Genomic DNA, 26,394 nt, shown 5'->3' on the forward strand with positions numbered 1-26,394 from the left:
GGCACAAGAATTGCTTGAACCTGGGAGGCGGAGGTTGCAGTGAGCTGAGATTGTACCACGGCACTCCAACCTGGGTGACAGGCGGAGACTCTGTCTCAAAAACATAAATAAATAAATAAATAAATAAATAAATAAATAAATAATAAAAATAAAGTAGAGAGGAGGTCTTGCTATGTTGCCCAAACTGGTCTCGAACTCCTGACCTCAAGTGATCCTTCCTCCTTGGCCTCCCAAAGTGCTGGGATTACAGGCATGAGCCACTGCACCCGGCCAAGCATGTTACTTAGAATTATGGAAGGAAATAATCAAAGAAACAACTATAAGTAGTAAAAGTAGTCGCCTCTGGGGATCGGAATCAGGGAGCGGCTGGGTATTTTTTAAAATTATAATTCATGAAGAACTGTCTTTGTAACCTTGATACATCTTATATGTTGTAAAATTTTTTATCGTTCAAGATCATGTTTATAATATGGTTGTGACTAGTCTTAAGGCAGGTGGAGAGTCTTGTAGGTTTTAACCACATCTCTTCCCCTCACTTTCATGACCAGATATTCTCTGATCATTCTAGAATCTAAAATCCAACATGTCAATAGTTGAAGCTAGAGGTAATATGCTATTATCTTTTTTTTTTTTTTTTTTTGAGACGAAGTCTTGCTATGTTGCCTAGGCTGGAGTTGCCTAGGCACAATCTTGGCTCACTGCAGCCCCCACCTCCCAGGTTCAAGCGATTGTCCTGCCTCAGACCCCCGAGTAGCTGTGATTATAGGCACCTGACACCACGCCCAACTAATTTTTGTATTTTTAGTAGAGACGGGGTTTCATCATGTTGGCCAGGATGATCTCGATCTCCTGACCTTGTGATCCGCCCGCCTTGGCCTCCCAAAGTGCTGGGATTACAGGCGAGAGCCATCGCGCCCAGCCCAATTCTTTGTTTTTTTTGAGACAGGATATCTCACTTTGTTGTTTGGGCTGGAGTGCAATGGTGCAATCATGGCTCACTCTCCAGGCTCAAGCAATCCTCTCAACTCAATCTTCCAAGTAGCTGGGACTACAGGTGCACACCACCATGCCTGGCTAATTTTTTTGTATTTTGTAGAGAGCCATGTTGCCCACATCAAACTCTTAAACAAATTATCCTTCCTTTCCCACTAACAGTATCCTAAAGCAGAGTTGAGACAGTGGAAAAATTATTGTTTATAAGCCAGGTCTGGTGGCTCAGCCTTGTAATCACAGCACTTTGGGAAGCCAAGGCAGGAGGATCACTTGAGCCTAGGAGTTCGAGAACAGCCTGGGCAACATGGTGAATGAAACTCCATCTCTACAAAAAATACAAAAATTAGCCAGGTGTGGTACCAAGTGCCTATGGTCCCAGCTACTTGGGAGGCTGAGGTGGGAGGATTGCTTGACCCCAGGAGGTGGAGGCTGCAGTGAGCTGTAATCATACCCCTATACTTCAGCCTGGATGACAGAGTGAGACTCTGCCTTAAAAATAAAGAAAAAAAGCCCAGGCATGGTGACTCATGCCTGTAATCCCAGCACTTTGGGAGGCTCAGGTGGGCGGATCACTTGAGGCCAGCAGTTCCAGACCAGCCTGGCCAACATGTCAAAATCCCATCTCTACTAAAAATATAAAAATTAGCCAGGCATGGCCAGGCGCGGTGGCTCACGCCTGTAATCTTAGCACTTTGGGAGGCAGAGATGGGTGGATCACAAGGTCAGGAGTTCAAGACCAGCCTGGCCAACATGGCAAAACCCCGTCTCTACTAAAAATACAAAAATTAGCCAGGCGCGGTGGTGGGCGCCTGTAATCCCAACTACTTGGGAGGCTGAGGCGGGAGAATCACTTAAAACTGGGGGTGGAGCTTGCAGCCTCAGCGACAGAGTGAGACTTCATCTGAAAAAAAAATTAGCTGGGCATGGTAGCGGACCTGTAGTCCCAGCTGCTTGGGAGGCTGAGGCATGAGAATCACTTGAATCTGGGAGGCGGTCACAGTGAGCTGAGATTGTGCCTCCAGACTGGGCGACAGAGCCATACTCCGTCTCAAAAACAAACAAACAACAACCAAAAAAAAAAAAAAAAACCAGGAGTTCAAGACCAGCCTGAGCCTGAGCAACATAATGAGACCCTGCCCCTACAAAAAATAAAAAAATAAAAAATTAGTCAGGTGTGATGGCACACACCTGTGGTCTTAGCTACTTGAGAGGTTGAGGCAGGAAGATTGCTTGAGCCCAGGAGTTCGAAGCTGCAGCAAGCTATTGCAGCCATTGTACTCCAGCCTGGGTGACAGATCAAGACCCTGTCTCAAAAAATATATATAAATAATAACAATAAAATTATTCTTTCTTGGTTGAGAACACACAGACACACATACATATGATGCTATTCTTAAATATGTCCAGGAAACAGAGATCATGGTGGGGAGGTCTATTTCAGGATTTAATCCCTTGTTTTCACTCAGTAAATTCTTCCTCGAGTCTATCCCATTTCCACCAGCCCATTCTTTGTGGAAACCAAAGACACTCGCAATTGGCCGGGCGTGGTGGCTCATGCCTGGAATCCCAGCACTTTGGGAGACAGAGGCCAGGGGATCACCTGAAGTCAAGAGTTTGAGACCAGCCTGGCCGACATGGTGAAACCCTGTCTCTACGAAAAATATAAAAATTAGCCGGACATGGCATCACGTGCCTGTAATCCCAGCTACTCAGGAGGCTGAGACAGGAGAATCGCTTGAACCCAGGAGGCAGAGGTTACAGTGAGCTGAGATTGCGCCACTGCACTCTAGCCTGAGCAACAAAGTGAGACTGTCTCAAAAAACCAACCAACCAAACAAACAAAAAAACAAAGACGCTCTCATAATAATCCAGCAATAAATTCTCAAGTGGGCAGTCCTTGATCCAGCCCACTGCTGGGTAATTATTTGTTCTGTTTCATAGCAGTAGGTTCTGTCTTCCAGGGAGGCTGTGAGCTCCTTTGAGGCAGGGACATAGAGCACCCCGCACAGTGCTGCCCACAGTCATGGGTTTTACAAACTGACTGCCAGACAAACTGAAAACCCGAACCTCTCCCAGCTTTGCTTTCTGCAAGGACAAGAACTCAACCTCTGCCGAGTGCGGTGGCTCATGCCTGTAATCCCAGCATTTTGGGAGGCCGAGGCGGGCAGACGGCTTGAGCTCAAGAGTTCAAGACCAGACTGGGCAACATGACGAAACCCCGTCTCTAAAAAAATACAAAACTCAGCCAGGTGTAGTCTCAGCTACCGGGGAGGCTGAGGCAGAAGGATCACTTGATCCCAGGAGGTCGAGGCTTCAGTGAGCAGTGATCATGCCACTGCACTGCAGCCTAGGCAACAAAACAAGACACTGTCTCAAAAAATATATATATAGGCCAGGTGCGGTGGCTCACGCCTGTAATCCTAGCACTTTGGGAGGCCGAGGCGGGTGGATCACCTGAGATCAGGAGTTCAAGACCAGCCTGCTAACATGGCGAAACTCTGTCTCTACTAAAAGTACAAAAAATAGCTGGGCATGATGGCAGGCGCCTGTAATCCCAGCTACTGGGAGGCGGAGGCAGGAGAACTGCTTGAAATCAGGAGGCAGAGGTTGCAGTGAGCCGAGATCTGGCCATTGCATTCCAGCCTGGGCAATAAGAGCGAGACTCCGTCTCTTGAAAAAAATAAAAATAAAAATAGGTCGGGCACGGTGGCTCACGCCTGTAATCCCAGTACTTTGGGAGGCCGAGGCAGGCGGATCACGAGGTCAGGAGATCGAGACCATCCTGTGACTGGTGAAACCCTGTCTCTACTAAAAATACAAAAAATTAGCTGGGCGTGGTGGCGGGCACCTGTAGTCCCAGCTACTCGGGAGGCTGAGGAGGGAGAATGGCGTGAACCCAGGAGGCGGAGCTTGCAGTAGCCGAGACTGTGCCACTGCACTCCAGCCCGGGCGACAGAGTGAGACTCTGTCTCAAAAAAAATAAATAAATAACTAAAAATAAAAATAAAAATAAAAATCATATATTTAAAAAAAACATGCTTATCAAATAAAAGAAAAAAATAGATCGCACCACTGCACTCCAGCCTGGCAACAGAGCGAGACTCTGTCTCAAAATAAATAAATAAATAAATAAAAAATAGGCCGGGCGCAGTGGCTCATGCCTGTAATCCTAGCACTTTGGGAGGCCGAGGCGGGCGGATCGTGAGGTCAGGAGATCGAGACCATCCTGGCTAACATGGTGAAACCCCGTCTCTACTAAAAATACAAAAAAAATTAGCCAGGCGTGGTGGCGGGTGCCTGTAATCCCAGCTACTCGGGAGGCTGAGGCAGGAGAATCGCTTGAACTCGGGAGGTGGAGCTTGCAGTAAGCCAAGATCGCACCACTGCACTCCAGCCTGCATGACAGAGCGAGATTCTGTCTCAAACAAAACAAAACAGAACAAAACAAAAATAAATAAATAAATAAATAAAAAATAAAGAATGCTACCCCTGTGACAACACCTTCCTTATTTGGGCTTCCCCGGTCTGGCTCCTGGCCACTCACCTTGGGCTCACCCTGAGCTGCAAAGCGGGTGCGCAGAACATCCACGGGGTGCACAGTGAGGGTGGCCATACAGGCAGCCAGGCCACCACATACAAAGTGCACTGAGAATTCCCGGGCGTCATACACGCTGCCTCTGTGGACCAGCTCCGTCAGCATTTCAAATGACAAGAACTGCAAGAGTAAGTGAAGAAGTCACCGACAGCCCAAAGGATGAGGGTGAGGACCAAATACTCCCCAAATACATCACCCGTGACCCGGCTGGGGCCCAGGTGGAGGGGCGAGGAAAAGGTCAGGAAATGTTCTTCTTGAGCAGTGACAGCATATGATAAATACAACATTCTACGCAAAACTCGGATGCCATTTGATACTTGAGTAGAGTCAGACACTCAAAGGGTTAAGAAGATATATGGGGGCCAGGTGCAGTGGCTCACACTTGTAATCCCAGCACTCTGGGGGGCCGAGGCGGGCAGATCACGAGGTCACAAGTTCGAGACCAGCCGGGTCAACATAGTGAAACCCTGTCTTTACTAAAAATACAAAAATTAGTCAGGCATGGTGGCGGGCACCTGTAGTCCCAGGTACTTGGGGGGCTGAGGCAGGAGAATCACTTGAACCCGGGAGGCAGAGCTGCACTGAGCCAAGATCATGCCACTGCGCTCTCCAGCCCGGGCGACAGAGCAAGACTCGGTCTCAAAAAAAAGACTGGGTGCAGTGGCCCACGCCTGTAATCCCAGCACTTTGGAAGGCCGAGGTGGGCAGATCATGAGGTCAGGAGTTGGAGACCAGCCTGGCCAATATGGTGGAACCCTGTCTCTACTAAAAATACAAAAATTAGCCAGGCATGGTGGCGTGGGCCTGTAACCCCAGCTACTTGGGAGGCTGAGGCAGAAGAATCGCCTGAACCCAGGAGGCGGAGGTTGCAGTGAGCTGAGATTGCGCCACTGCACTCCAGCCTGGGCAACAGAGTGAGACTCTGTCTCAAGAAAAAATAAAAAAGATACATGAGAACAATGTATATCAGAAAATGTCACTGGCTAACTTAGTTTTCTGAGAACTGGGGAAGACGGCCATGCTCTGATTCCTGCAGGGACCCCTTCAGTGCAGCTGGCGGCGGCACCTGGTGGCGGCACTGTTCGAGAATCATTCTTTTCTGGGGCAGATTCTTTTGGGAGCATGTTCCACAGGGTGACCCCCTTACATTCAGATCTTTCTTTTTTTTTTTTTTTTTTTTTTTTTAGGGACAAGAGTGTCTCTCTGTCACCCAGGCTGGAGTACAGTGGCACAAACACGGCTCACTGCAGCCTCAACCTCCTGGGCTCCAGTGATCCTCTCACCTCAGCTCCTCAAGTAGCTGGGATTACAGGCGCATGCCACCATGTCCAGCTAATTTTGGTATTTTTTGTAGAACCAGGGTTTCACTATGTTGCCAAGGCTGGTCTCAAACTCCTGAGCTCAAGCAATCTGCCCGCCTTGGGCTCCCAAAGGGCTGAGATTACACACATGAGCCACCGAGCTTGGCCCTGTTTTGCTTTTTGAGGCAAGGTCGTGCTCAGTTGCCCAGGCTGGAGTGCAGTGGCTCGATCACAGTTCACAGCAGCCTTGACTTCTCTAGCTCAAATTATTCTCCTGCCTCTGGAATAGCTGGGACGACAGGTGTGTACCACCATATCTGGCTAATTTATTTTTTATTTTTAGTAGAGAGGAGGTCTCCCTAATGTTGCCCAGGCTGGTCTCAAACTCCTGAGCTCAAGCCATCCTCCCACCTCAGCCTCCCAAAGTGATGGGATTACAGGTGTGAGCCACTATACCAGGGCTATGCTCAGATCTTCCTTCAGCCAACTGAAGATGGCCTGGCTTCTTTTCTTTTTTTGAGACAGGGTCTGGCTGTGTTGCCCAGGCTGAAGTGCAGTGGCATGATCGTGGCTCACTGCAGCCTCCGCCTCCCGGGCTCAGATGCTGGGATTACAGGTGTGAGCCACTGAGTCCAGCCCACGCCTGGCTTCTTGAGACTATCCTGTTGCTGTATTTATTCGTCATGCTGCAATATCTGTTTGCAGACAAGTGCAGAGACAGGATCGCAGGGCATGCCCAGCCAGTAAGCACCTGACTTGGGCGGTCACTGTGATGTCACAGGAAGAGTAGGAAGGGACATCTCTGGCACTAGCTGCCTAGGTGGGGGTCGTGGCTCTGCCATTTTCTAGCCAGTGGCTTTGGTTGGGTTAATTATGTAAGCTCTGTCCACCTCAGTCTTCTCATGCATGACATGGGAGGGACAACAGCCCCTACCTTAAGGACTGCTGTGACAGAGTGTATGTGAAGTGCTTCCAACAGGGGCCTGGCCCATGGTTTGCACTGTACAGGGCTGGTTCTTAAACACATCTACTGCATAAAATCACATGCTGTGCACTATGACTATACTAGTGCTCCACTGAACGAAGCATGAGTTCTAACCCTAGCCCCGCCATGTGCAGGCTGTGTGGCCTCGGACAGCTGACTTCTCCTCCCTGAGATCCACATGACAGCTACCCTGCCCTCCTCATGACGGTGTGGTGAAGTTCAGATGAACCACATATGTGAAGGTGGTATTTCAAAAACTGAAATGCATTAGTGCTGTCCTTCGCCAAGCCTCACAGAAGGCATGACATCAAATCGGTCTCCAAGATGCAACACCTAAGTCACACAGGATAGACGCAGGGACATGGCGGAGGGCAATGCCTACGGTACTGCTGGTCAGGAAGGCTCCCGGGTGAGGCAGGTGGGAAGCGTGGGGCCTGCCTCTTCCGTCCTGCCCTGCGCGGCATTCCTGCTTGCCTCACCCTCCCTCTGCTCCTCCACTGAGCAACGTGACCCCAGAGGTCTGGCCAGGTCCCTTGCCACCTACTTGGACAGCTCCATAGCCTATGGAGAGAATCTGAGCTGGGACGTGTCCTTTCCAGAAAGCTGTCGGACCCTCCTCCTGCAGAATCTGCCTAGAGGCCTGGAGGATGCCATGGTACTTTGCGCTGGGGTCACTGCGAGACAGGCGCTCATGCTGAAGCTAGGAATCAAAATAAAAAAGGTCAGGACAGTGGGGTGGGCTGGAATGTGAAGGGGAACTTTCAGAAAAGGCAAGCCCTTCATCTGGATAGAATTCCAAGTTTTAGGAACTGCTTTTGCAAGAAAGACTGAACTTGTCCTCCAGTCCATTGCATGGAAAAAGGGGAAGAGTACCTGGAAACGGATCTTGATGACGTCGAAGGGACTGATCAGCGCCCGAGTAACAAGTCCAGACACAGACCCAGCCACTGCCACCTGGAACTTGGTGTTATTCCTGCCATCTGGTTTGGGGTCATAGCCAACCATCCCTGCCTCTGGCCCACACAATGTCCATCAGTATCAAGCTAAATGCAAGAGATACGGAATAAACACCAGGCAAGTTTCTTATGGTCTCTGCTCAAATATCACCTCCTCAGAGCAGCCCTCCCTGACTAGACTGTCTAAAATAGCACTCACTTTTGGACTGGGCGCAGCGGTTCATGCCTGTATCCCAGCACTTTCGGAGGCCGAGGTGGGTGGATTGCTTGAGCTCAGGAGTTCAAGACCAGCCTGGGCAACACTGCAAAACCCCAACTCTACAAAAAATACAAAAATTTAAAAATAAAATAAAATAGCACTTGTTTTATTCCTCTTTACAGTACTTATTACTATGGCATATTTGTTTACTTTTTTAGAGACAGGGTCTCACTCTGTTGCCCAGGCTGGAATGCAGTGGTGCCATCATAACTCACCATAGCCTTGAACTCCTGGGCTCAAGTGATTCTCTTGCCTCAGCCTCCCAATTAGCTGTCACTTAACAGGTGCAGGCCTGGCTAAGTTTTTTATTTTTGTAGAGATAAGGTCTCAATGTTGCCCTGGCTGGTCTCGAACTCCTGGCCTCAAGTGATTCTCCTGCCTCAGCCTCCTGAATTGCTGAGATTACATGCATGAGCCACAGCGCCCGGCACGCCATGGGTTATTTATACAGTACATTTGTTTCTTGTCTCTCTCCCTGACTAGAATGTAAGCCCGTGGAAACACGACCTTGGTCTCATTTGTTCACTCGTAAATTTCCGGTTCCTGGAATAGAGCCCATCATGGTAAGTGCTTAATAATATTTGAGAATCGAATGAACAGGCTTGATAGGCAATTGTTGGTCCCAGAGATCAACTGGTTTTCCAAGACATCTGGCAACTTTATAGCAAACTCCTGCTCACTGAGTGAGCCCACTCAAGTGTAACGCTGAGGGACTGAAGGACGTGCAGGGCTGGAGAACAGGGATTGGGATTCTTTAACAATCCCCCACTGTCCAAAGGAAGAGCCCTGAGGCCCTGAGCCCCTTCACCTTTCCCTTTCCCCTCCTGCACACACCTCAGACCACCCCGGCACAGTGGGGCCATGCTACGCTAGCAAATGATGCTCCTGGCCAGGCACCGTGGCTCACGCCTGTAATCCCAGCACTTTGGGAGGCCGAGGCGGGTGGATCGCCTGAGGTCAGGAGTTCAAGACCAGTCTGGCCAACATGGTGAAACCCTGTCTCTAATAAAAATACAAAAATTATCTGGGTGTCGTGGTGGGCGCCTGTAATCCCAGTTACTTGGGAGGCTGAGGAGGGAGAATCACGTGAGCCTGGGAGGCAGAGGTTGCAGTGAGCTGAAATCACGCCATTGCACTCCAGCCTGGGCTACAGAGTGAGACTCCGTCTCAAAAACAAAAAAACAAAACAAAACAAAAAAGAAAATGACGCTCCTGGGCTCCCCTGACTCAGACCTACTGACCTCTTCAGCCTCACTCTGGACCACTCTTCCCCTTCCCTCATTTAACCAGAGTGGTCTGACTGCTTCTGCCCAGTTCCTGGAAAACTCGGGGAGCACTCCTATCAATTGCCTTGCCTCTACTCCTCCAGTTCCCTACGTCTGAAATACAGCCCCACTCTCAGCCCCTACTCACTTTTTCAAGGCTAGCTCCTCTCATCCACCAGAGCTCAGCTAAAAAGCATCCCTTCCAGGAGATGTACTTTTTTCCTTTTTTGTAAAAACAAAAAACAAAAACAGTAATACCTACATACGGTCTGTAGAGTTGTACAAAGCATAGAAAGAAGTCTGTAACCACACACATCAACAGGTAGTTGGTAACTGATCACAGGGAGAAGGGCTGAGAAGGGAAAAAGGAAGGTAGACCTGTCGATAATTCTATACTGTTTGAATTTGTTATGGCAAAAAAAAAAAAAAAAAATCCCTAAAACTAGCCTTCAGAATTACCCTAGTTCTTGAATACTTGTAGTAGTGGGGGTGGGGGTGGGGGAGGAGGGGAGATACTACCTACAGGATGGCAGCCTCCACCCCAGACATCAATTCCTTTTCTCCTCTCACCCACCCTGGAACTCCTCCCCAGGCGCCCATGAGGAAGTTTAAACACGCGGCAAGCGACTGAGAGGCAAAACCTCTCCAGGGGTTACCCAGGGACCGCTCAGGTCACACTGAGCAGCGTGTTTCCCGCCCATCTGGGCAGAAAGGAGGAGCAAGCCCGAGTGGCAGGTGTCCTGGATCGCTGTCAGGAGACCGGAGCATACCAGGCTCTTCCTGGTGTTCGGGTGCCCATGTGCCCAAGGGCTCAGCTGAGCAAATCTGCAGAGGTCCCCGTGTGGGTACCTAGGTGTCCACGTGTGCCTCGGGGTGTGTTTTTTCTCCTTGAGTCCGAGGGGACGCCCTGGAGCTCAGGTGCTCAAGGGCGTGCGCGGGGCTCGGCCGCCGGTGTCCCTGGAGATGCTTCTCTGGTCTGGTGTGACACGTGTGTACACAGTCCCCGCCCTCTCGTGAGCGCCCGGGTGCGTGTGCTCCCTCCCGACCACCCTGAGGAGCGAGGGTGCTGGTCCCCGAGAGGGCGGCGAGAAGGACGGAGGTAGAGGTTACTCACACGGCTCGGCGGGTGCGGCCCGGCTCAGCGCTCTCCGCTCTCTCTAGCTCCTCGCGCAGTCTTAACAGCAAAACTCTACTGAGCTCGGACGAAACTGGCGGGCTCCTGGGCCAATCACCGTGCAGCTCCCCGCCAGACGCTGGACCAATGGTTGTGCGCTTGAGGTCTGGCAACCGCCTCCCGCAAGATATCACCGGGTAATGTAGTCCTTCGCGACCAAGGGCAGGACAGCTGGACGGCGCACAGCTTCCTGGGAGATGTAGTCCGGCTGCTCGCGGGCGCGCGAGTTCGACCGACGCGTTAGAAGGAGGTGCCTTGCGAAGCCGGGCTGCGACCTTAGGGGTCGCCGTGCTCTGGCGTGTGACTCGAAAGTCAGCCTGCAGGCGGGGTCCAAGGTTAGGGCGCGGTAGACTTGACCCGCTTTCCTCAAACTCTGTTAATGCCAGAACCCGGATAATCTCAACTTGGTAAAGATGGCAGGAAGCCTAGCAAAAAGCTGGAGGACGTCGGGAAGAGAATAGATGAGAACAGTCCCCTCGGGGACGGGGAAGGCAAAAACACGAGTGTCCCCCCCTCTCACCCCGAGTTTTAGTATTTCTCATTATAAAAGTAATATTAAAAGTATATAGACAGAAAATATAGAAAGGAAGGAGGAAATGACTCATCCTACCGCCCGCACACAACTAGCGTCACGGTTTTGCGCGACAGTATTGCCTCCTGACTTTTTAATTGCATTTTTATATTCGTGTTATCATTTTGACGCACAATTTTAAGACATTTTTATTGTAGAAAATTTCAAGATACACAGAAGTGGAATAACCCGATGAAGCCGCGTAGAGTCGCTCTCCGACCTCAGCAGTTACGCGACTCATGGGGCAATCTTGTTTCCTCTATTTCTGCACCTACCTCGCACGCGCTGCCCAGCGTTATTCTGAAGTAAATACCATCACGTGTTTTCACCAGTAAATATTTCAGTATGTGTCTTTAAAGGACAAGCATTCCCTTTTTAATACGTATACATTATGCTTCACACACACACAAAACTGTCACTCCGACCCCCCAAAAAAACTTTTAATATCAAATATGAATTAGTGTTTACACTTTTCTGAAAGAAAGAAATGTTCTTCTTTTTTTTTTTTTTTTTTTTTTTTTTTTTTTTTTTTTTTTTTTGAGACAGTTTTGCTCTTGTCGCCCAGGCTGGAGTGCAATGGTGCTATTTCAGCTCACTGCAACCTTTGCCTCTGGGGTTCACACGATTCTCCTGCCTCAGCCTCCCGAGTAGCTGGGATTACACGCGTGCACCACTATGCCCAGCTAATTTTTTGTATCTTTAGTAGAGATGGGGTTTTGCCATGTTGGTCAGTCTGGTCTCAAACTTTTTTTTTTTTTTTGAGACAAGAGTCTCACTCTGTCACCCAGGCTGGAATGCAGTGGCACGATCTCGGCTCGGTGCAACCTCCACCTCCCGGGTTCAGGTGATTCTCCTGCTTCAGCCTCCTGAGTAGCTGGGACTACAGGCCTGCACCACCATACCCAGCTAATTTTTGTAGTTTTAGTAGAAACGGGGTTTCACCATGTTGGCCAGGCTAGTTTTGAACTCCTGACCTCAAGTGATCCACCCAGCTCGGCCTCCCAAGGTTCTGGGATTACAGGTGTGAGCCACCGTGCCTGGCTGAAATGTCCTTCTTAAAACAAGTTGTTTGCTTTTCTTTCTTTTTTTTTTGAGACGGAGTCTAGCTCTGTCCCCCAGGCTGGAGTGCAGTGGCGCGATCTTGGCTCACTGCAAGCTCCGCCTCCCGGGTTCACGCCATTCTCCTGCCTCAGCCTCTCCAAGTAGCTGGGACTACAGGCGCCCGCCACCACGCCCGGCTAATTTTTTGTATTTTTAGTAGAGATGGGGTTTCACCGTGGTCTCGATCTCCTGACCTCGTGATCTGCCCGCCTCGGCCTCCCAAAGTGCTGGGATTACAAGCGTCAGCCACCATACCCAGCCACAAGTTTGCTTTTCTAAGTGACAGAGCTCAGAAAACAAACAAAAATGTTTGTCTGAATTGAGATCTTGGTTGGGTGCAGTGGCTCACACCTGTAATCCCAGCACTGGGAGGCTGAGGTGGGTGGATTGCTTGAGGTCAGGAGTTCAAGACCAGCCTGACCAACATGTGAAACCGCGTCTCTACTAAAAATACAAAAATTAGCCAGGCATGGTGGTAGGCGCTTGTAATTCCAGCTACTTGGGAGGCTGAGGCAGGAGGATCACTTGAACCTGGGAGGGAGAGGTTACAGTGAGCCGAGATCGTGCCACTGCACTCCAGCCTGGGCAACAGAGTGAGACTCCGTCTCAAAGAAAAGAAAAAGAGTTGAGATCTGAACTGAACATTGCAACTGGAAGTCCTTTTAAAAATCTATTGTTTTTCTCCACTTTACTTTTTTTTTACTTGAAATTTGTTTTCTTTCATTTCCTTTCATTTTCCTTTCTTTCTCTATTTTATTATATTTGTTTTTTTTTAAGAAACTAGATAGAGCCAGGCTGGGGGTGCACACCTGTATTCCCAATATTAGGGAGACTGAGGGAGGAGGATCCCTTGAGCCCAGAAGTTCAAAGCTGTAGTGTGCAAAAATAGTGCCTGTGAATAGCCACTGTGCTCCAGCCTGGGAAACATAGCGACACTCCATCTCTACAAAAACTAAATAATACATTTTTTAAAAGAAAGAAATTAAGTGGTTTATGCTGTGGCATTTTCCCTAGTCTGGATTTTGCTGATCGCATCCCCATGGAGTTGTTTCCACATCTTCCTGTGTCCCTTGTGTTTTTTGTTTGTTTGTTTGTTGTTGTTGTTGCTGTTTTTGAGACAAAGTCTCACTCAGTTGTCCAGGCTGTGGTGCAATGGTGCAATCTCGGCTCACTGCAACCTGTGCCTCCTGGGTTCAAGGGATTCTCCAGCCTCAGCCTCCCAAGTAGCTGGGATTACAGGCACCCGCCATCATGTCCAGCTAATTTTTGTATTTTTAGTAGAGATGAGGTTTCACCATGTTGGCCAGGCTGGTCTCGAACTCCTGACCTCAGCTGATCTGCCTGCTTTGGCCTCCCGAAGTGCTGGGATTACAGGCGTGAGCCACCACACCTGGCCCCTATGTCCCTTGTGTTCTCTGCTAATTGGTAATTAGATCTAAAAGGTTTGATTAGACTGGGTTTGACTTTTTTTTTTTTTAGATAAGGTCTCACTTTGTCTCCCAGGCTAGAGTGCAGTGACACGATCTCAGCTCACTGCAGCCTCTACCTCTTGGGGTCAAGCTATCCTTCTGCCTCAGCCCCTAGTAGCTGGGACTACAGGCACGCGCCACCACACCCAGCTAATTTTTTGTATTTTTTGTAGAGACGGGGTTTTGCCATGTTGCCCATGGCAGTCTTGAACTCCTGAGCTCAGGCAATCTGTCTGCTTCAGCCTCCCAAAGTGCTAGGATTACAGGTGTCAGCCACTGAACCTGGCCTGATTTTTAAAATTTATTTCTTTATTTTTTGAGACAGAGTCTCACTCTGTCCTCCAGGCTGGAGTGCAGTGGCGCAATCGCAGCTCGCTGCAAACTCCGCCTCCTGAGTTCAAGCGATTCTCCTGCTTCAGCCTCCTGAGTAGTCGTGATTACAGGCATGTGCCACCTCGCCCAGCTAATTTTCGTATTTTTAGTAGAGACGGGGTTGTTTCACCATGTTGGTTGGGCTGGTCTCAAATTCCTGACCTCATGATCTGCCCGCCTTGGCCTCCCGAAGTGCTGGGATTACAGACGTGAGCCACTGCGCCCAGCCTTTTTTTTTTTTTTTTTTTAGACAGAATCTTGCTGTGTTGTCCAGGCTGGAGTACAGTCATACAGTAGTGTGATCTTGGCTCACTGCAACCTCCGCCTCCAGGGTTCAAGCGACTCTCCTGCCTCAGCCTCCTGAGTAGCTGGTACTACAGGCACATGCCACCAAACCTGGCTAATTTTTGTACTTTTAGTGGAGATGACGTTTCACCACATTGGCCAGGCTTGTCTCAAACTCCTGACCTCAAGTGATCTGCCCACTTTGCCCTTCCAAAGTGCTGGGATTACAGGCATGAGCCACTGTGCCTGGCCTGATTTTTTTTTTTGTAAAGACAGTCTCGCTCTGTTGCCCAGGCTGGAGTGCAGTGGCACAATCTTGGTTCACTGCAACCTCTGCCTCCTGGGTTCAAGCAATTCTCTTGCCTCAGCCTCCTGAGTAGCTGGGATTACAGATGCCCTCCACCATGCCCGGCTAATTTTTGTATTTTTAGTAGAGATGGGATTTCACCATGTTGGTCAGGCTGGTCTCGAACTCCTGACCTCAGGTGATCCACCTGCCTCAGCCTCCCAAAGTGCTAGGATTACAGGCATGAGCCACGGCGCCCGGCCAACGTTTTTTTTTTTTTTTTTTTTTTTTTTAAATGAGACTACTTACATGGTGTTGTGTATTTCCATGAGGAACACCATAATGCCTGCTTGTCTGTCATTTTGTGATGTTTGCAGCCATCGTGTCTCAAAAAAGAATTGGTTCCTGGCCAGATGCGGTGGCCCACACCTGTACCAGCACTTTGGGAGGCCAAGCTGGGTTGGTCATCTTGAGGTCAGGAGTTTGAGACCAGCCTGGCCAACATTGTGAAACCCCTGACCTCAAGTGATTTGCCTGCTTCAGCCTCCCAAAGTGCTAGGATTACAGGCATGAGCCACCGTGCCTGGCCTTAATTTTTGGTAGAGACAGCATAGGATCTCCCTATGCTGCTCAGGCTGGTCTTAAACTCCTGGGCCTCCCAAAGTCCTGGGATTACAGGTGTAAGCCACCATGCCTGGCCTTTACCAAAGAAATCTTTGCCTAGTCAAAGGTTATAAAGATTTTCTCCTATGTTTTCTAATAGAAATTTTATAGTTTTAGGTTTTACATCTAGGTCTCTGATCCATTTTTAGTTATTTTTTGTTTGGTATGAGATATTGAAGGTTTTTTTCTTGTACTTGGATATTTAATTGTTCTAGTACATGGAACTCTGTTTTTGTTGAAAAGTCTATTCTTTCTCCACTAAACTGCTCTGTTCATGTTTGTTGAAAATCAGTTCATGTGTACACAAAATGATGACCTTTTTTCTTTTTTCACTCAATGCAAGTAATGATAAGCATTGTCCACACAGGAAAAAGATAGTTAAAGGTGTTGCCGGGCACGATGGCTCACGCCTGTAATACCAGCACTTTGGGAGGCCGAGGTGAATGGGTCACCTAAGGTCAGAAGTTCAAGACCAACCTGGCCAACATGGTGAAACCCCGTCTCTACTAAAAGTACAAAAATTAGCTGGGCATGGTGGCAGGTGTCTGTTATCCCAGCTACTCAGGAGGCTGAAGCAGGAGAATCACTTGAACCCAGGAGGCGGAGGTTGCAGTGAGCTGAGATCACACTACTGCACTCCAGCCTGGGTGGCAAGAGTGAGACTCCATCTCAAAAAAAAAAAAGATGTTAAGGTGGGCTTGGTGCAGTGACTCATGCCTGTAATCCCAGCACTTTGCGAGGCCGAGACAGGTGGATCACTTGAAGTGAGGAGTTCGAGACCAGCCTGGCCAACATGGTGAAACCCCGTCTCTACTAAAAATACAAAAATTATCTGGGCGTGGTGGTGGGCACCTGTAATCCCAGCTACTCAGGAGGCTGAGGCAGGAGAATCACTTGAACCTGGGAGGAGGAGGTTGCAGTGAGCCGAGATCACTCCACTCCAGCCTGGACAACACAGCAAGACTCCATCTCAAAAATAAACAAAAATAAATAAATAAATAAAAATAAAGATGTTAAGTTGGCCCATAATGGGCAGAACCTAAAAAAGAAATTTGACTTCCTGTTCTAGTCGAAAGCGTCCCTCACTGTGGTCTTCCGGGCTGCACTGTCCTCCCTCACTCCCTCTGTCTCCTTGCTTAGGGATTGCCTTATTTCCCCATGCAAGTGCAGCCCTCATGTTTTATCTCTGTTGTCCAGGTCAGTTTGTGAACTGATTGCTAACCTCTTTCCAGATCATCTCTTTGGCTAAGGAGATCTTTGGCCCTACTTTGTTTTCCTGAACTAGAGCAAACCCACATTTTAGAATGGGCCTCTTCAAAGGCCAATCAGCAGATAAGCCAGGAAGGACCTTTGACTACAGGCTAATTGTAGGGTGACTTAGACCCAGGGCACCACAGATGGTCAGAACTGGAAAGATTCATGGAGGTCATTTCATCTGGCCGGGGCCCAGAAGGACTAGGAGATGTGCCTGCAGTCCCTCAAGGTCAGGTGGCAAATTGGTGGCTGGGATGAGATGAGACTGGAGGTAGATGCTAGTTTTCCTGGGCTGACCCGGATTGTAGTTTTTATATATTTCAAATTTGGCCATTTCATTTTAAGTTAAATATGTTTAGTAAATCTGAAAAGAGAAACCAGAAAGTAACGGTTCCCGTCAGCTTGGGGAAGTGAATCCTTCTGTGACTTCACCAACACTTACCCTAAAGAGGCCTATAAAAAGCTCCTTTGGACTTCCCCCGCCTCCTAAGAAGGAGTAAATATCTCCTTGGCCTTGACCAAATAGAGTTGGTATTTAGCAGCTGCTTGAGCTGATGCTTCTGAGGCAAATGAGTCTCTTAACATCTAACTGAGTTGGTCAGCTCTCTGTAAGAGGCCTGAAAGTCAGAAGGCAACTTGCTGTGTGTCTCTGGCAAGTAACTTTCCTTCTCTGGGCTGCAGTTCCTTCATCTGTTCAGATGGAGTTGGACTACAGGGTAGGTCAAGCCTTGCTGCCTCTGCACCTCCACAGTTCTAAAATATAATCTGCATTTTTTTTTTTTTTTGAGACGGAGCCTCGCTCTGTTGCCCAGGCTGGAGTGCAGTGGCGCAATCTCGGCTCACTGCAAGCTCTGCCTCCCGGGCTCAAGCCATTCTGCCTCAGCCTCCCGAGTAGCTGCGACTACGGGCACCTGCCACCACGCCCAGCTAATTTTTTGTATTTTTAGTAGAGACGGGGTTTCACCGTGTTAGCCATGATGGTCTCGATCTCTTGACCTCGTGATCCACCTGCCTCAGCCTCCCAAAGTGCTGGGATTACAGGCGTGAGCCACTGTGCCCGGCCTTTTTTTTTTTTTTTTTTTTTTTTAATGGAGATGGAGTCTCACTATGTTGTCCAGGCTGGTCTCGAGCTCCTGGCCTTAAGCAATCACCTCGCTTCAGCCTCCCAAAGTGCTGGGATCAAGGGTTTGAGCCACCATATGCCTGGACTTAAAAAAAACAACAACTCATCAAATATTGAGGGCCTGTTTTGGCCAGACACTGTTTTAGATGTTGGAGATTCAGCAGTGAATCAATCAGAATTCTTGCCCTCTTGGATCAGGCTTTCTTTCACTCAGCAATATGCAGCTAAGGTTTTTCCACAATTTCTCCTGGCCTGATAGTGTGTTTCTTTTTGGTGTGGAATAACATTTCATTGTGCGGTTCCAGCACACAGTTTGCTTATCCATTCACCTATTAAAGGATGTCTTAGCTGGGCACAGTGGCTCATGCCTGTAATCCCAGCACTTTGGGAGGCCGAGGTGGGCAGATCACGAGGTTAGGAGTTCGAGACCAGCCTGGCCAACATAGTGAAACCCCCGTCTCTACTAAAAATACAAAAAATTAGCTGGACGTGGTGGTAGGCGCCTGTAATCCCAGCTACTTAGGAGGCTAAGGCAGGAGAATTGATTGAACCTGGGAGGCGGAGGTTGCAGTGAGCTGAGATCATGCCATTGTACTCCAGCACAGGTGACAGTGCGAGACTCCGTCTCAAAAAACCCAAAAAAACAGGACATCTTAGTTGCTTCCAAGCTTTAGCATTTATGAATAAAGTTGCCATAAGCCTTCATGTGCAGGTTTTTGCATGGATATAAATCTCCATCATTTTATTTTATTTTATTTTATTTTTAAATGAGACGGGGTGTGCCCAGGCTGGTCTTGAACTCCTGACCTCAAGCAATCCACCCACCTTGGCCTTCCAAAGTGCTGAGATTACAGGCATGAGCCACTATGGCCGGCCTTCATTTTATTTTTTAAAACTTAATAGAGCTAAAGGGCTGAGGAAATAATGAGAAGCCAACCACTGATGGAGGATTCTGGAGGAAGTTCTGATAGGCTGCAAGCCCCAAAGATAGGGGCACCTTGGCAACAGTTCCTTTTTTTCTTTGTTCTTTCAGATTTACTCAGCAAATGACTCAAACACCAGTAAACTAAAATAAAAAAAAAAAAGAAAGAAAGAAAGAGAGGATTCACTGTCCAGTAACTTTCAATAGCTGATTTCTTACCCATTTTGACTTTCTTCTGTTGCTCTTCTCAGGGGAGTCAAACATCAAGAGGCTACAGGGCGCCGGGTGCGGTGGCTCACGTCTGTAATGCCGGCACTTCAGGAGGTCGAGGCGGGCGGATCATCTGACGTCAGGAGTTTGAGACCAGCCTGGCCAACGTGGTGAAACCCTGTCTCTACTAATAATAAAAAACTAGCTGGGTGAGGTGGCTCATGCCTGTAATCCCAGCACTTTGGGAGGCCGAGGCAGGCAGATCACTTGAGGTTAGGAGTTTGAAACCAGCCTTGCCAACATGGTGAAACCCCGTCTCTACTAAAACTATAAAAATTATCTGGGCGTGGTGGCACCTGCCTGTAATCCCAGCTACTCTGGAGGCTGAGGCAGGAGAATGGCTTGAATCCGGGAGGCGGAGGTTGCTGTGAGCTGAGATCGCGCCATTGCACTCCAGCCTAGGCAACAGGAGCGAAACTCCGTTGTTTCGCTACAGGAAATTCCAAAAAGAGGCTACAGGAAATGTCAATACCAGGCCAGAGAAGAAGGGTTCCCAAGTTTGCTGGAGGGTCTCAAGGCTTCCAGCTTTGTGGTTTTCGGCATTTGGTTCTCTTTGACCAGATCATCAACTGTTGTGGGTGACCACGCCTCCTCACTCATCACCTGTTTCTGAGCTTCTGTGAGAAAGAATTTTCTGGCTGGGCGCGGTGGCTCACTCCTGTAATCCCAGCACTTTGGGAGGCCGAGGTGGGTGGATCAACTGAGGTCAGGAGTTCAAGACCAGCCTGGCCAACATGGTGAAACCCCTTCTCTACTAAATATACAACAAAAATTAGCCAGGCGTGGTGGAAGGTGCCTATAATCCCAGCTACTCGGGAGGCTGAGGCAGGAGAATCGCTTGAACCTGGGAGGCAGAGGTTGCAGTGAGCCAAGATCACGCCACTGCACTCGAGCCTGGGCAACAAGAGCGAAAATCTGTCTCAAAAAATAAAATAAAAGGAATTTTTGCTGTGTCTGTGGGAAGCCCATCTTCACCCTGCCTGCCATCAAATGCACACAGAGAACAGAGTGCAGCCCTGTCGTGAAGGTAGAGGTGTCTGTGTGTGGAAGGGTTGACATGTCCCACATCCACCGCAAACCATGTCTTCTTTTATTTTTTATTTTTTGAGACAGAGTCTCGCTCTGTAGCCCAGGCTGGAATGTAGTGGCAGCGGTTTTGGCTCACTGCAACCTCTGTCTCCAAAGTTTCAGCAGTTCTCCTGCCTCAGCCTCCTGAGTAGCTGGGATTACAGGCACGCGCCACCACACCCAGCTAATTTTTTATTATTAGTAGAGACAGAGTTTCACCATGTTGGCAAGGCTGGTCTCGAACTCCTAACCTCAGGTGATCTGCCTTCCTCGGCCTCCCAAAGTGCTGGGATTCCAGGCGTGAACCACCGCGCCTAGCCACAGACCACGTCTTCTTCCGTGACAATTTACGGTTCCTGACTCAAGGATGACTACCTCTCCCAGCACTTTGGAAGGCTGAGGCAGGAGGATTACTTGAGCCCAGGAGTTCAAGACCAGCCTGGGCAACAATAGTGAGACTTTGTTTCTACCAAAAAAAAAAAAAAAAAAAAACCGCTGGATGTGTGGCACGCGCCTGTAGTCCTAGCTCCTTGGGAGGCTGAGGTGGAAGGTTCTCTTGAGCCTGGGAGGTCAAGGCTACAGTGAGCCAAAATCATGCCACTGCACTCCAGCCTGGGAGTGCAGGACCCCGTCTCAAAAACAAAAAATGGGCCGGGCGAGGTGGCTCACGCCTGTAATCCCGGCACTTTGGGAGGCCGAGGCAGGAGGATCATGAGGTCAGGAGATCAAGACCATCCTGGCTAACATGGTGAAACCCCGTCTCTACTAAAAATACAAAAAATTAGCTGGGCGTGGTGGAGGGCACCTGTAGTCCCAGCTACTTGGGAGGCTGAGGCAGGAGAATGGTGTGAACCCGGGAGGTGGAGCTTGCAGTGAGCTGAGATCGCACCGCTGCACTCCAGCCTGGATGACAGAGTGAGACTCCATCTGAAAAAAAAAAAAAAAAAAAAAGTTGACTACTTTTGGGAGCTCCAAATCTAAGAAGCAGGCTATGAGAAAATGGGCCTAAAGCCTCCTCAAATCCATAGCAAATCAGGCAGGGTGGTCATGTCATTACTCCCAAGACAGAAACAGATTTTCTCCTGTCCCAGTATTGATACATTTCTTTCCACTGGGCTTTTCCTGTATTTAAGTGATGTGTTTTTGTTTTTAACACAATTATAATCCTACTGTACATGTAAGATTATGCGCTTTCATTTAACATTGTACTATGATGATGTTTTCCATGTTTTTTAAGTTTTTCATAAAGTATAACTTTTGTTGGTTGTATCACAATCTTTTTTTTCTTTTTTGAGATGAGATCCTCCTCTGTTGCCCAGTGGCAGTGCAGTGGCATGATCACGATTTATTGCAGCCTTGACGGCCCAGACTCATGCAATTCTCCCACCTCAGCTTCCTGAATAACTGGGACCACAGGTGTGTACCACCATGCCTGGCTAATTTTTATTTTATTATTTGTAGAGATGAGGTTTTCCTATGTTGTCCAGGTTGGTCTCCAACTCCTGGGATCAAGCAATCCTCCCGTCTCAGCCTTCCAAACTGCTTGGATTACAGGCATGAGCCACTGCACCTGGCTCATAATGATTTTTAAAGCTTATTTGTATTAAGATATAATTCACATAACATTAAAAAACATCAAAAAACTGTATGTTTAAAAATATACAGCTTCGTGGGGTTTGTTTAGTATATTGTGCAATCATCACCGCTATCCAATTCCAGAGCTTTTTTTTTTTTTTTTTTTGAGACAGAGTTTTGCTCTTGTTGCCCAGGCTGGAGTGCAGTGGTACCATCTTGGCTCGCTGCAACCTCCGCCTCCCAGCTTCAAGCAATTCTCCTGCCCCTGCCTCCCGAGGGTGGGGAGGGATTACAGGCACCCGCCACCACATGAAGCTAATTTTCAGATTTTTGGTAGAGACAGGGTTTCACCCTGTTGGCCAGGCCAGTCTCGAACTCCTGACCTCAAGTGATCCACCCGCCTCGGCCTCCCCAAGTGCTGGGATTACAGGTGTGAACCACTGCACCTGGCCAGCACCATCTTATTAATACATTCCCACCAGCGAGGTCTGCGGTTCCAGTTTCTCGCCATCCCCGCTGACACTCGATGTTTTTTCTTTGGTGGATGCTCACATGCTTCTGCATGAGCCTTTTTCCCTCCTTTCCCCACGCCTCAGTTCTGGAGTCACCGTCTCTCTGAAGTCTCTCCTGACCCCATCCAAGTCGGCCTCCCCTCTGCTCTCCTTGCCCCGCTGCCTTCTGGGATGGATTACTGCTCAGTATCTGCCACGGTATCTCCGGCTTCCTGAGGGCTGGTGTTTGGTAACTTTCTTATGCATCTCTGTCTCCAGCACCTGGGCCTGTGTTCGACGGCTCAGTAGACACTAGAGTGCAGGGATGGAGATGACACACCACCCAGCATGGCTCAGAGTGAAGTGATTTCCCCCTTCCACATCCTCATCTGCCTCCACCCCATGAAAGTATTTATAGACAGGGAATCGTGGGAGTGGAGAACTACGTACGTAGCAGGGTTGAGTAGAGAAAGATGGGAAATGTCCACAGACGTCTTTTCTTTGCTCCCCTTTGCGGTGGGGATTCTGGAGATGTCAGGGACTGTGGGGATTGGCTGCTTGGTAGGCAGACATGAATGATGGGGTATCAGGACTAGATTCAGCTGCCCTGAAAGTGACAGAGCCCCACAATAGTGGCTTGAATTCATCAAAGTCCACAGTAAGCTCACCAGGGCTGGTTCAGCCACTGTCTCCATCAACTTCCCAGGAGCAGAGCACTGGCCCCTTCCAGCCCACCATGCCACAACCCTTAGGGCAGAAGGACCCAACCCAGTACGGGTCTGTGGCCTGTAAGGAGCTGGGCCCCACAGCAGGAGATGATGGCGGGCGAGCAAGCATTACCGCCTCCTGTCAGATCAGCGGCGGCACTAGATTCTCACAGGAGCACGAACCCTACGTGAACTGCGTACGCGAGGGATCTAGGTTCCACGCTCCTTATGAGAATCTAATACCTGATGATCTGAGGTGGAACAGTTTCATCCCAAAACCGTTCCCCCTCCACCGTGGGAAATTGTTTTCCATGCAACCGGTGACAAAAAGGTTGGGGACCGCTGCCCTAGGGTGTGGCCATCAGTGTCAGCAGCCAGAGCTCCAGACATCACATGGGTAGTGAAGCAACAGGATGGAGACATGATTGCAAGAGAAAGGGGTTCCAGGAAGGTTATCTGGGGCCGTCATATGAAAATTTTACTTGAATCCTATTGGCCAGAGCTGAGTCACATGGCTGCACCTAAATGTCAGTAGCTGGGACAGGTGGTCTTTACTCTGGGTAGTCATATGCAAGCTAAAAATTGGGTATTCTCTGGCTGGGCATGGTGGCTCACACCTGTAATCCCAGCACTTTGGGAGGCCGAGGTGGGTGGATCACTTAAGGTCAGGAGTTCAAGACTACCTTGGCCAATACGGTGAAACCCCGTCTCTACTAAAAATACAAAAATTGGCTGGGCGTGGCGGTGGGTGCCTGTAATCCCAGCTACCTGGGAGGCTGAGGCAAGAGAATTGCTTGAACCCGGGAGGCGGAGGTTGCAGTGAGCCAAGATTGTGCCACTGCACTCCAGCCTGGATGAAAGAGTGAGACCTTGTCAATAATAATAATAATTGGGCATTTTCCTACTATGGAAGAAGAGGGGGGAAGGTGGCAGAAAACATGTCTGCCCAGATGGATAGATGAAGAGAAACATCTATTGAGGAAGTATATGATTCCTCTGGCATTAGGCTGGATATTTTATTTTATTTTATTTTTCCAGATGGAGTTTCGCTCTTGTCGCCCAGGCTGGAGTGCAATGATGCGATTCGGGTCACTGCAACCTCCGCCTCCTGGATTCAAGCGATTCTGCTGCCTCAGCCTCCTGAGTAGCTGGGATTACAAGCATGGGCCACCAGGCCTGGCTAATTTTTTGTACTTTTAGTAGAGATGGGGTTTCACCATGTTGGTCAGGCTGGTCTCAAACTCCTGACCTCAAGTGATCAACCTGCCTCAGCCTCCTAAAGTCCTGGGATTACAGGTGTGAGCCACCGTGCCTGTCCAGGCTGGATATTATATACATTAGCCATGTCTCCCAAAAACCCTAGGAGGCCAACATCACATTCCATCATACTGCTGAGGAAACAAGCTCAGAGGCATCAGCCACCTCGCCCAAGGTCACATAACCAGCAGGATCTGGAGCTAGGACCAAGAACCCAGTTCTGTGGGATTTTTTGTGCACCTCCCCCACTGCCAAATTCATACTTTGAGGCCCTAACCCCACAATGCAATGGTGTTATCAGTTTGTTCTCCCTGCTATAAAATACCTGAGACTTGGTAGTTTATAAAGGAAAGAGGTTTAATTGGCTCATGGTTCTGCAGGATGTACAGGAAACATGGCTGGGGAGGCCTCAGGAAACTTACAATCATGGTGGAAGGTGATGGGGAAGGGACATCTTACACTGCCAGAGCAGGAGAAAGAGAGCGAAGGGAGAGGTGCTATATGCTTTTTTTTTTTTTTTTTTTTTTTTTTTGACACGGTCTCTGTCGCCCAGGCTGGAGTGCAGTGGCATGATGTTGGCTCACTGCAACCTCTGCCTCCCAGGCTCAAGCGATACTCCCACCTCAGCCTCCCAAGTAGCTGGGATTACAGGCGCCTGCCACCACGCCTGGCTAATTTTTGTATTTTTAGTAGAGATGGGGTTTCACCATGTTGGCCAGGCTAGTCTCAAACTCATGACCTCAAGTCATCTCCCCGCCTCGGCCTCCCACGGTGCTGGCCTGGCTGCCCTGTGTTTTGAGATCATGCTCCTCACCCATCTGCACTTTGAGTTCTACAGCTGAGGGGGAGAGGTCTTCTTCCCATGGATTACTTTTCTCAGGCTGCAAAAGTGTTTGGAAGAGCAGCCTTATGGTCAGAAGGCATTTGAAAAACAACTTATATTCCTTACTCACAACAAAATAGTTTTTATTTGTTTTTTTGAGACGGAGTCTCACGGTGTCACCCAGGCTGGAGTGCAGTGGTGCGATCTCGGCTCACTGCAACCTCCGCCTCCTGGGTTCAAGCAATTCTCCAGTCTCAGCCTCCTGAGTAGCTGGGACTACAGGTGCCTGCCACCACACCCAGCTAATTTTTTGTATTTCTAGTGGGGATGAAGTTTCTACATGTTGGCCAGGCTGGTCTTGAACTCCAGATCTTAAGTGATACACCTGCCTCAGCCTCCCAAAGTGCTGGGATTACTGGTGTGAGCCACTGCGCCTGGCCTATTTGCTCCTTTAATGAACTTTCGTCTTCACTAGTGGTCTCAGGACAAGCAGAGCAGGCAGTGGAAGAGCCTTGGAGCTCACCTGGCCATCGGTTTAAATGTGCCATTTAGACATGATTTCTTGAGGCCAGGTGTGGGGGCTTTCACCTGTAGTCCTAGCACTTTGGGAGGCTGAGGCAGGAGAATTGCTTGAGGCCAAGAGTTCAAGATGAACCTGGCCAACATAGCAAGACCCTGTCTCTAAAAAAAGAAAAAAAAAAGACACAATTTTGTCTGTATGAGATCAAATGCCAAACCACTGCACACAGACAAGTAATTCAGTAGGGAAGTGAGATCAACATTTGTACAGAGAAATCAATACCTTCCCATAGACAAATGACAGCTAGCTAGAAAATGGGAGGCCGGGCATAGTGGCTCCTGCCTGTAATCCCAGCACTTTGGGAGGCTGAGGTGGGCAGATCACTTGAGCTCAGGAATTCAAGACCAGCCTGGGCAACATGGCGAAACCCCATCTCTACAAAAAGTACAAAAATTAGGTGGGCATGGTGGTACTTGCCTATAGTCCCAGCTACTCAGGAGGCTGAGGTAGGAGGATTGCTTGAACCCAGAGGGTCGAGGCTGGGATGAGCTGTGTTCACACCACTGTACTCTAGCCTGGGTAACAAAATGAGACCATGACTCAATAAATAAATAAATAGATAGATATAAATTTAAAAACAAAAATAAATAAATTAGCTGGGTGCAGTGGCACATGTCTGTAGTCCTAGCTACATGGAAGGCTGAGGTGGAAGGATCACTTGAGCCCAGGAGGTGGAGGTTTCAGTGAGCCATGATCACACCACTGCACTCCAGCCTGGGTGACAGAGCAAGACCTTATCTCAAAAAAAAAAAAAAAGATGGAAGAAGATAAGGTCTGCTTTAAAATATCAACAAAGATGATAAAATATCTGGGAACAAATGTCACAAGAAACATGCAAAATCTCCATAAGGAAAATGTTCCCAAAGGACATGAAACTGGAAAGACATGGCAAGTCCTCGGATAGGGAGACTCAACATCACAAAACGCCAGTTCTTCTTAGTTTACAAATTTAACATGATCCAAATAAAAACACCAAGAGCCTTTTTTCTGGAAGGAAACAAGCTGATGCTAAAGTTTACATTGAAAATATAAACAAGGCCGGGCGTGGT

The 26,394-nt window shown here is 48.8% G+C and overlaps 1 protein-coding gene and 1 long non-coding RNA gene across 13 annotated transcripts in view, besides 12 other annotated features; one reads left to right on the top strand and one right to left on the bottom strand.

The window, feature by feature from the left end:
* The window catches only part of SLC25A19 (solute carrier family 25 member 19), a 16,442-nt gene extending 5,894 nt beyond the window's left edge, over positions 1–10,548 (bottom strand). For 2 of the 12 annotated variants that reach the window (XM_047436514.1, NM_021734.5), the window contains exons 1-5: positions 10,469–10,548; positions 9,503–9,576; positions 7,748–7,917; positions 7,419–7,574; positions 4,538–4,708 (exon numbers count right to left, since the gene is read on the bottom strand). In XM_047436514.1, coding sequence (XP_047292470.1) covers positions 4,538–4,708; positions 7,419–7,574; positions 7,748–7,879 — 459 coding nt within the window. In that variant the 5' untranslated portion in view covers positions 7,880–7,917; positions 9,503–9,576; positions 10,469–10,548. Of the gene's footprint in view, positions 1–4,537; positions 4,709–7,418; positions 7,575–7,747; positions 7,918–8,029; positions 9,707–10,203 lie in introns of all 12 variants that reach the window. The other 10 variants (XM_017024928.3, NM_001126121.2, XM_047436512.1 and 7 more) reach the window with 9 other exon arrangements.
* Positions 9,693–10,194: an enhancer, noted in NCBI's record as "OCT4-NANOG-H3K27ac hESC enhancer chr17:73284659-73285160 (GRCh37/hg19 assembly coordinates)". NCBI's record gives its function as "activates a minimal SCP1, AML or CMV promoter by ChIP-STARR-seq in naive H9 embryonic stem cells {active_cell/tissue: H9 hESC(naive)}" and the evidence as "EXISTENCE:reporter gene assay evidence [ECO:0000049][PMID:30033119]".
* Positions 10,627–10,826: an enhancer, noted in NCBI's record as "active region_12743". NCBI's record gives its function as "activates an Ori minimal core promoter by ATAC-STARR-seq in GM12878 lymphoblastoid cells {active_cell/tissue: GM12878}" and the evidence as "EXISTENCE:reporter gene assay evidence [ECO:0000049][PMID:35858748]".
* Positions 10,917–10,966: an enhancer, noted in NCBI's record as "active region_12744". NCBI's record gives its function as "activates an Ori minimal core promoter by ATAC-STARR-seq in GM12878 lymphoblastoid cells {active_cell/tissue: GM12878}" and the evidence as "EXISTENCE:reporter gene assay evidence [ECO:0000049][PMID:35858748]".
* Positions 11,007–11,056: an enhancer, noted in NCBI's record as "active region_12745". NCBI's record gives its function as "activates an Ori minimal core promoter by ATAC-STARR-seq in GM12878 lymphoblastoid cells {active_cell/tissue: GM12878}" and the evidence as "EXISTENCE:reporter gene assay evidence [ECO:0000049][PMID:35858748]".
* Positions 15,652–15,841: a silencer, noted in NCBI's record as "silent region_8963". NCBI's record gives its function as "represses an Ori minimal core promoter by ATAC-STARR-seq in GM12878 lymphoblastoid cells {active_cell/tissue: GM12878}" and the evidence as "EXISTENCE:reporter gene assay evidence [ECO:0000049][PMID:35858748]".
* On the top strand, positions 16,634–18,994 carry LOC124904059 (uncharacterized). Its single transcript, XR_007065908.1, has 2 exons — positions 16,634–16,758; positions 18,826–18,994. It is a non-coding gene; the product is annotated as an uncharacterized LOC124904059 (long non-coding RNA).
* Positions 16,892–16,951: an enhancer, noted in NCBI's record as "active region_12746". NCBI's record gives its function as "activates an Ori minimal core promoter by ATAC-STARR-seq in GM12878 lymphoblastoid cells {active_cell/tissue: GM12878}" and the evidence as "EXISTENCE:reporter gene assay evidence [ECO:0000049][PMID:35858748]".
* Positions 17,032–17,121: an enhancer, noted in NCBI's record as "active region_12747". NCBI's record gives its function as "activates an Ori minimal core promoter by ATAC-STARR-seq in GM12878 lymphoblastoid cells {active_cell/tissue: GM12878}" and the evidence as "EXISTENCE:reporter gene assay evidence [ECO:0000049][PMID:35858748]".
* Positions 17,142–17,191: an enhancer, noted in NCBI's record as "active region_12748". NCBI's record gives its function as "activates an Ori minimal core promoter by ATAC-STARR-seq in GM12878 lymphoblastoid cells {active_cell/tissue: GM12878}" and the evidence as "EXISTENCE:reporter gene assay evidence [ECO:0000049][PMID:35858748]".
* Positions 17,232–17,281: an enhancer, noted in NCBI's record as "active region_12749". NCBI's record gives its function as "activates an Ori minimal core promoter by ATAC-STARR-seq in GM12878 lymphoblastoid cells {active_cell/tissue: GM12878}" and the evidence as "EXISTENCE:reporter gene assay evidence [ECO:0000049][PMID:35858748]".
* Positions 18,694–18,953: an enhancer, noted in NCBI's record as "active region_12750". NCBI's record gives its function as "activates an Ori minimal core promoter by ATAC-STARR-seq in GM12878 lymphoblastoid cells {active_cell/tissue: GM12878}" and the evidence as "EXISTENCE:reporter gene assay evidence [ECO:0000049][PMID:35858748]".
* Positions 19,124–19,203: an enhancer, noted in NCBI's record as "active region_12751". NCBI's record gives its function as "activates an Ori minimal core promoter by ATAC-STARR-seq in GM12878 lymphoblastoid cells {active_cell/tissue: GM12878}" and the evidence as "EXISTENCE:reporter gene assay evidence [ECO:0000049][PMID:35858748]".
* Positions 22,284–22,784: an enhancer, noted in NCBI's record as "H3K4me1 hESC enhancer chr17:73297250-73297750 (GRCh37/hg19 assembly coordinates)". NCBI's record gives its function as "activates a minimal SCP1, AML or CMV promoter by ChIP-STARR-seq in primed H9 embryonic stem cells {active_cell/tissue: H9 hESC(primed)}" and the evidence as "EXISTENCE:reporter gene assay evidence [ECO:0000049][PMID:30033119]".

The sequence above is a fragment of the Homo sapiens genome, chromosome 17 (genome assembly GCF_000001405.40).
Source record: "Homo sapiens chromosome 17, GRCh38.p14 Primary Assembly".
NCBI lineage: Eukaryota > Metazoa > Chordata > Mammalia > Primates > Hominidae > Homo > Homo sapiens.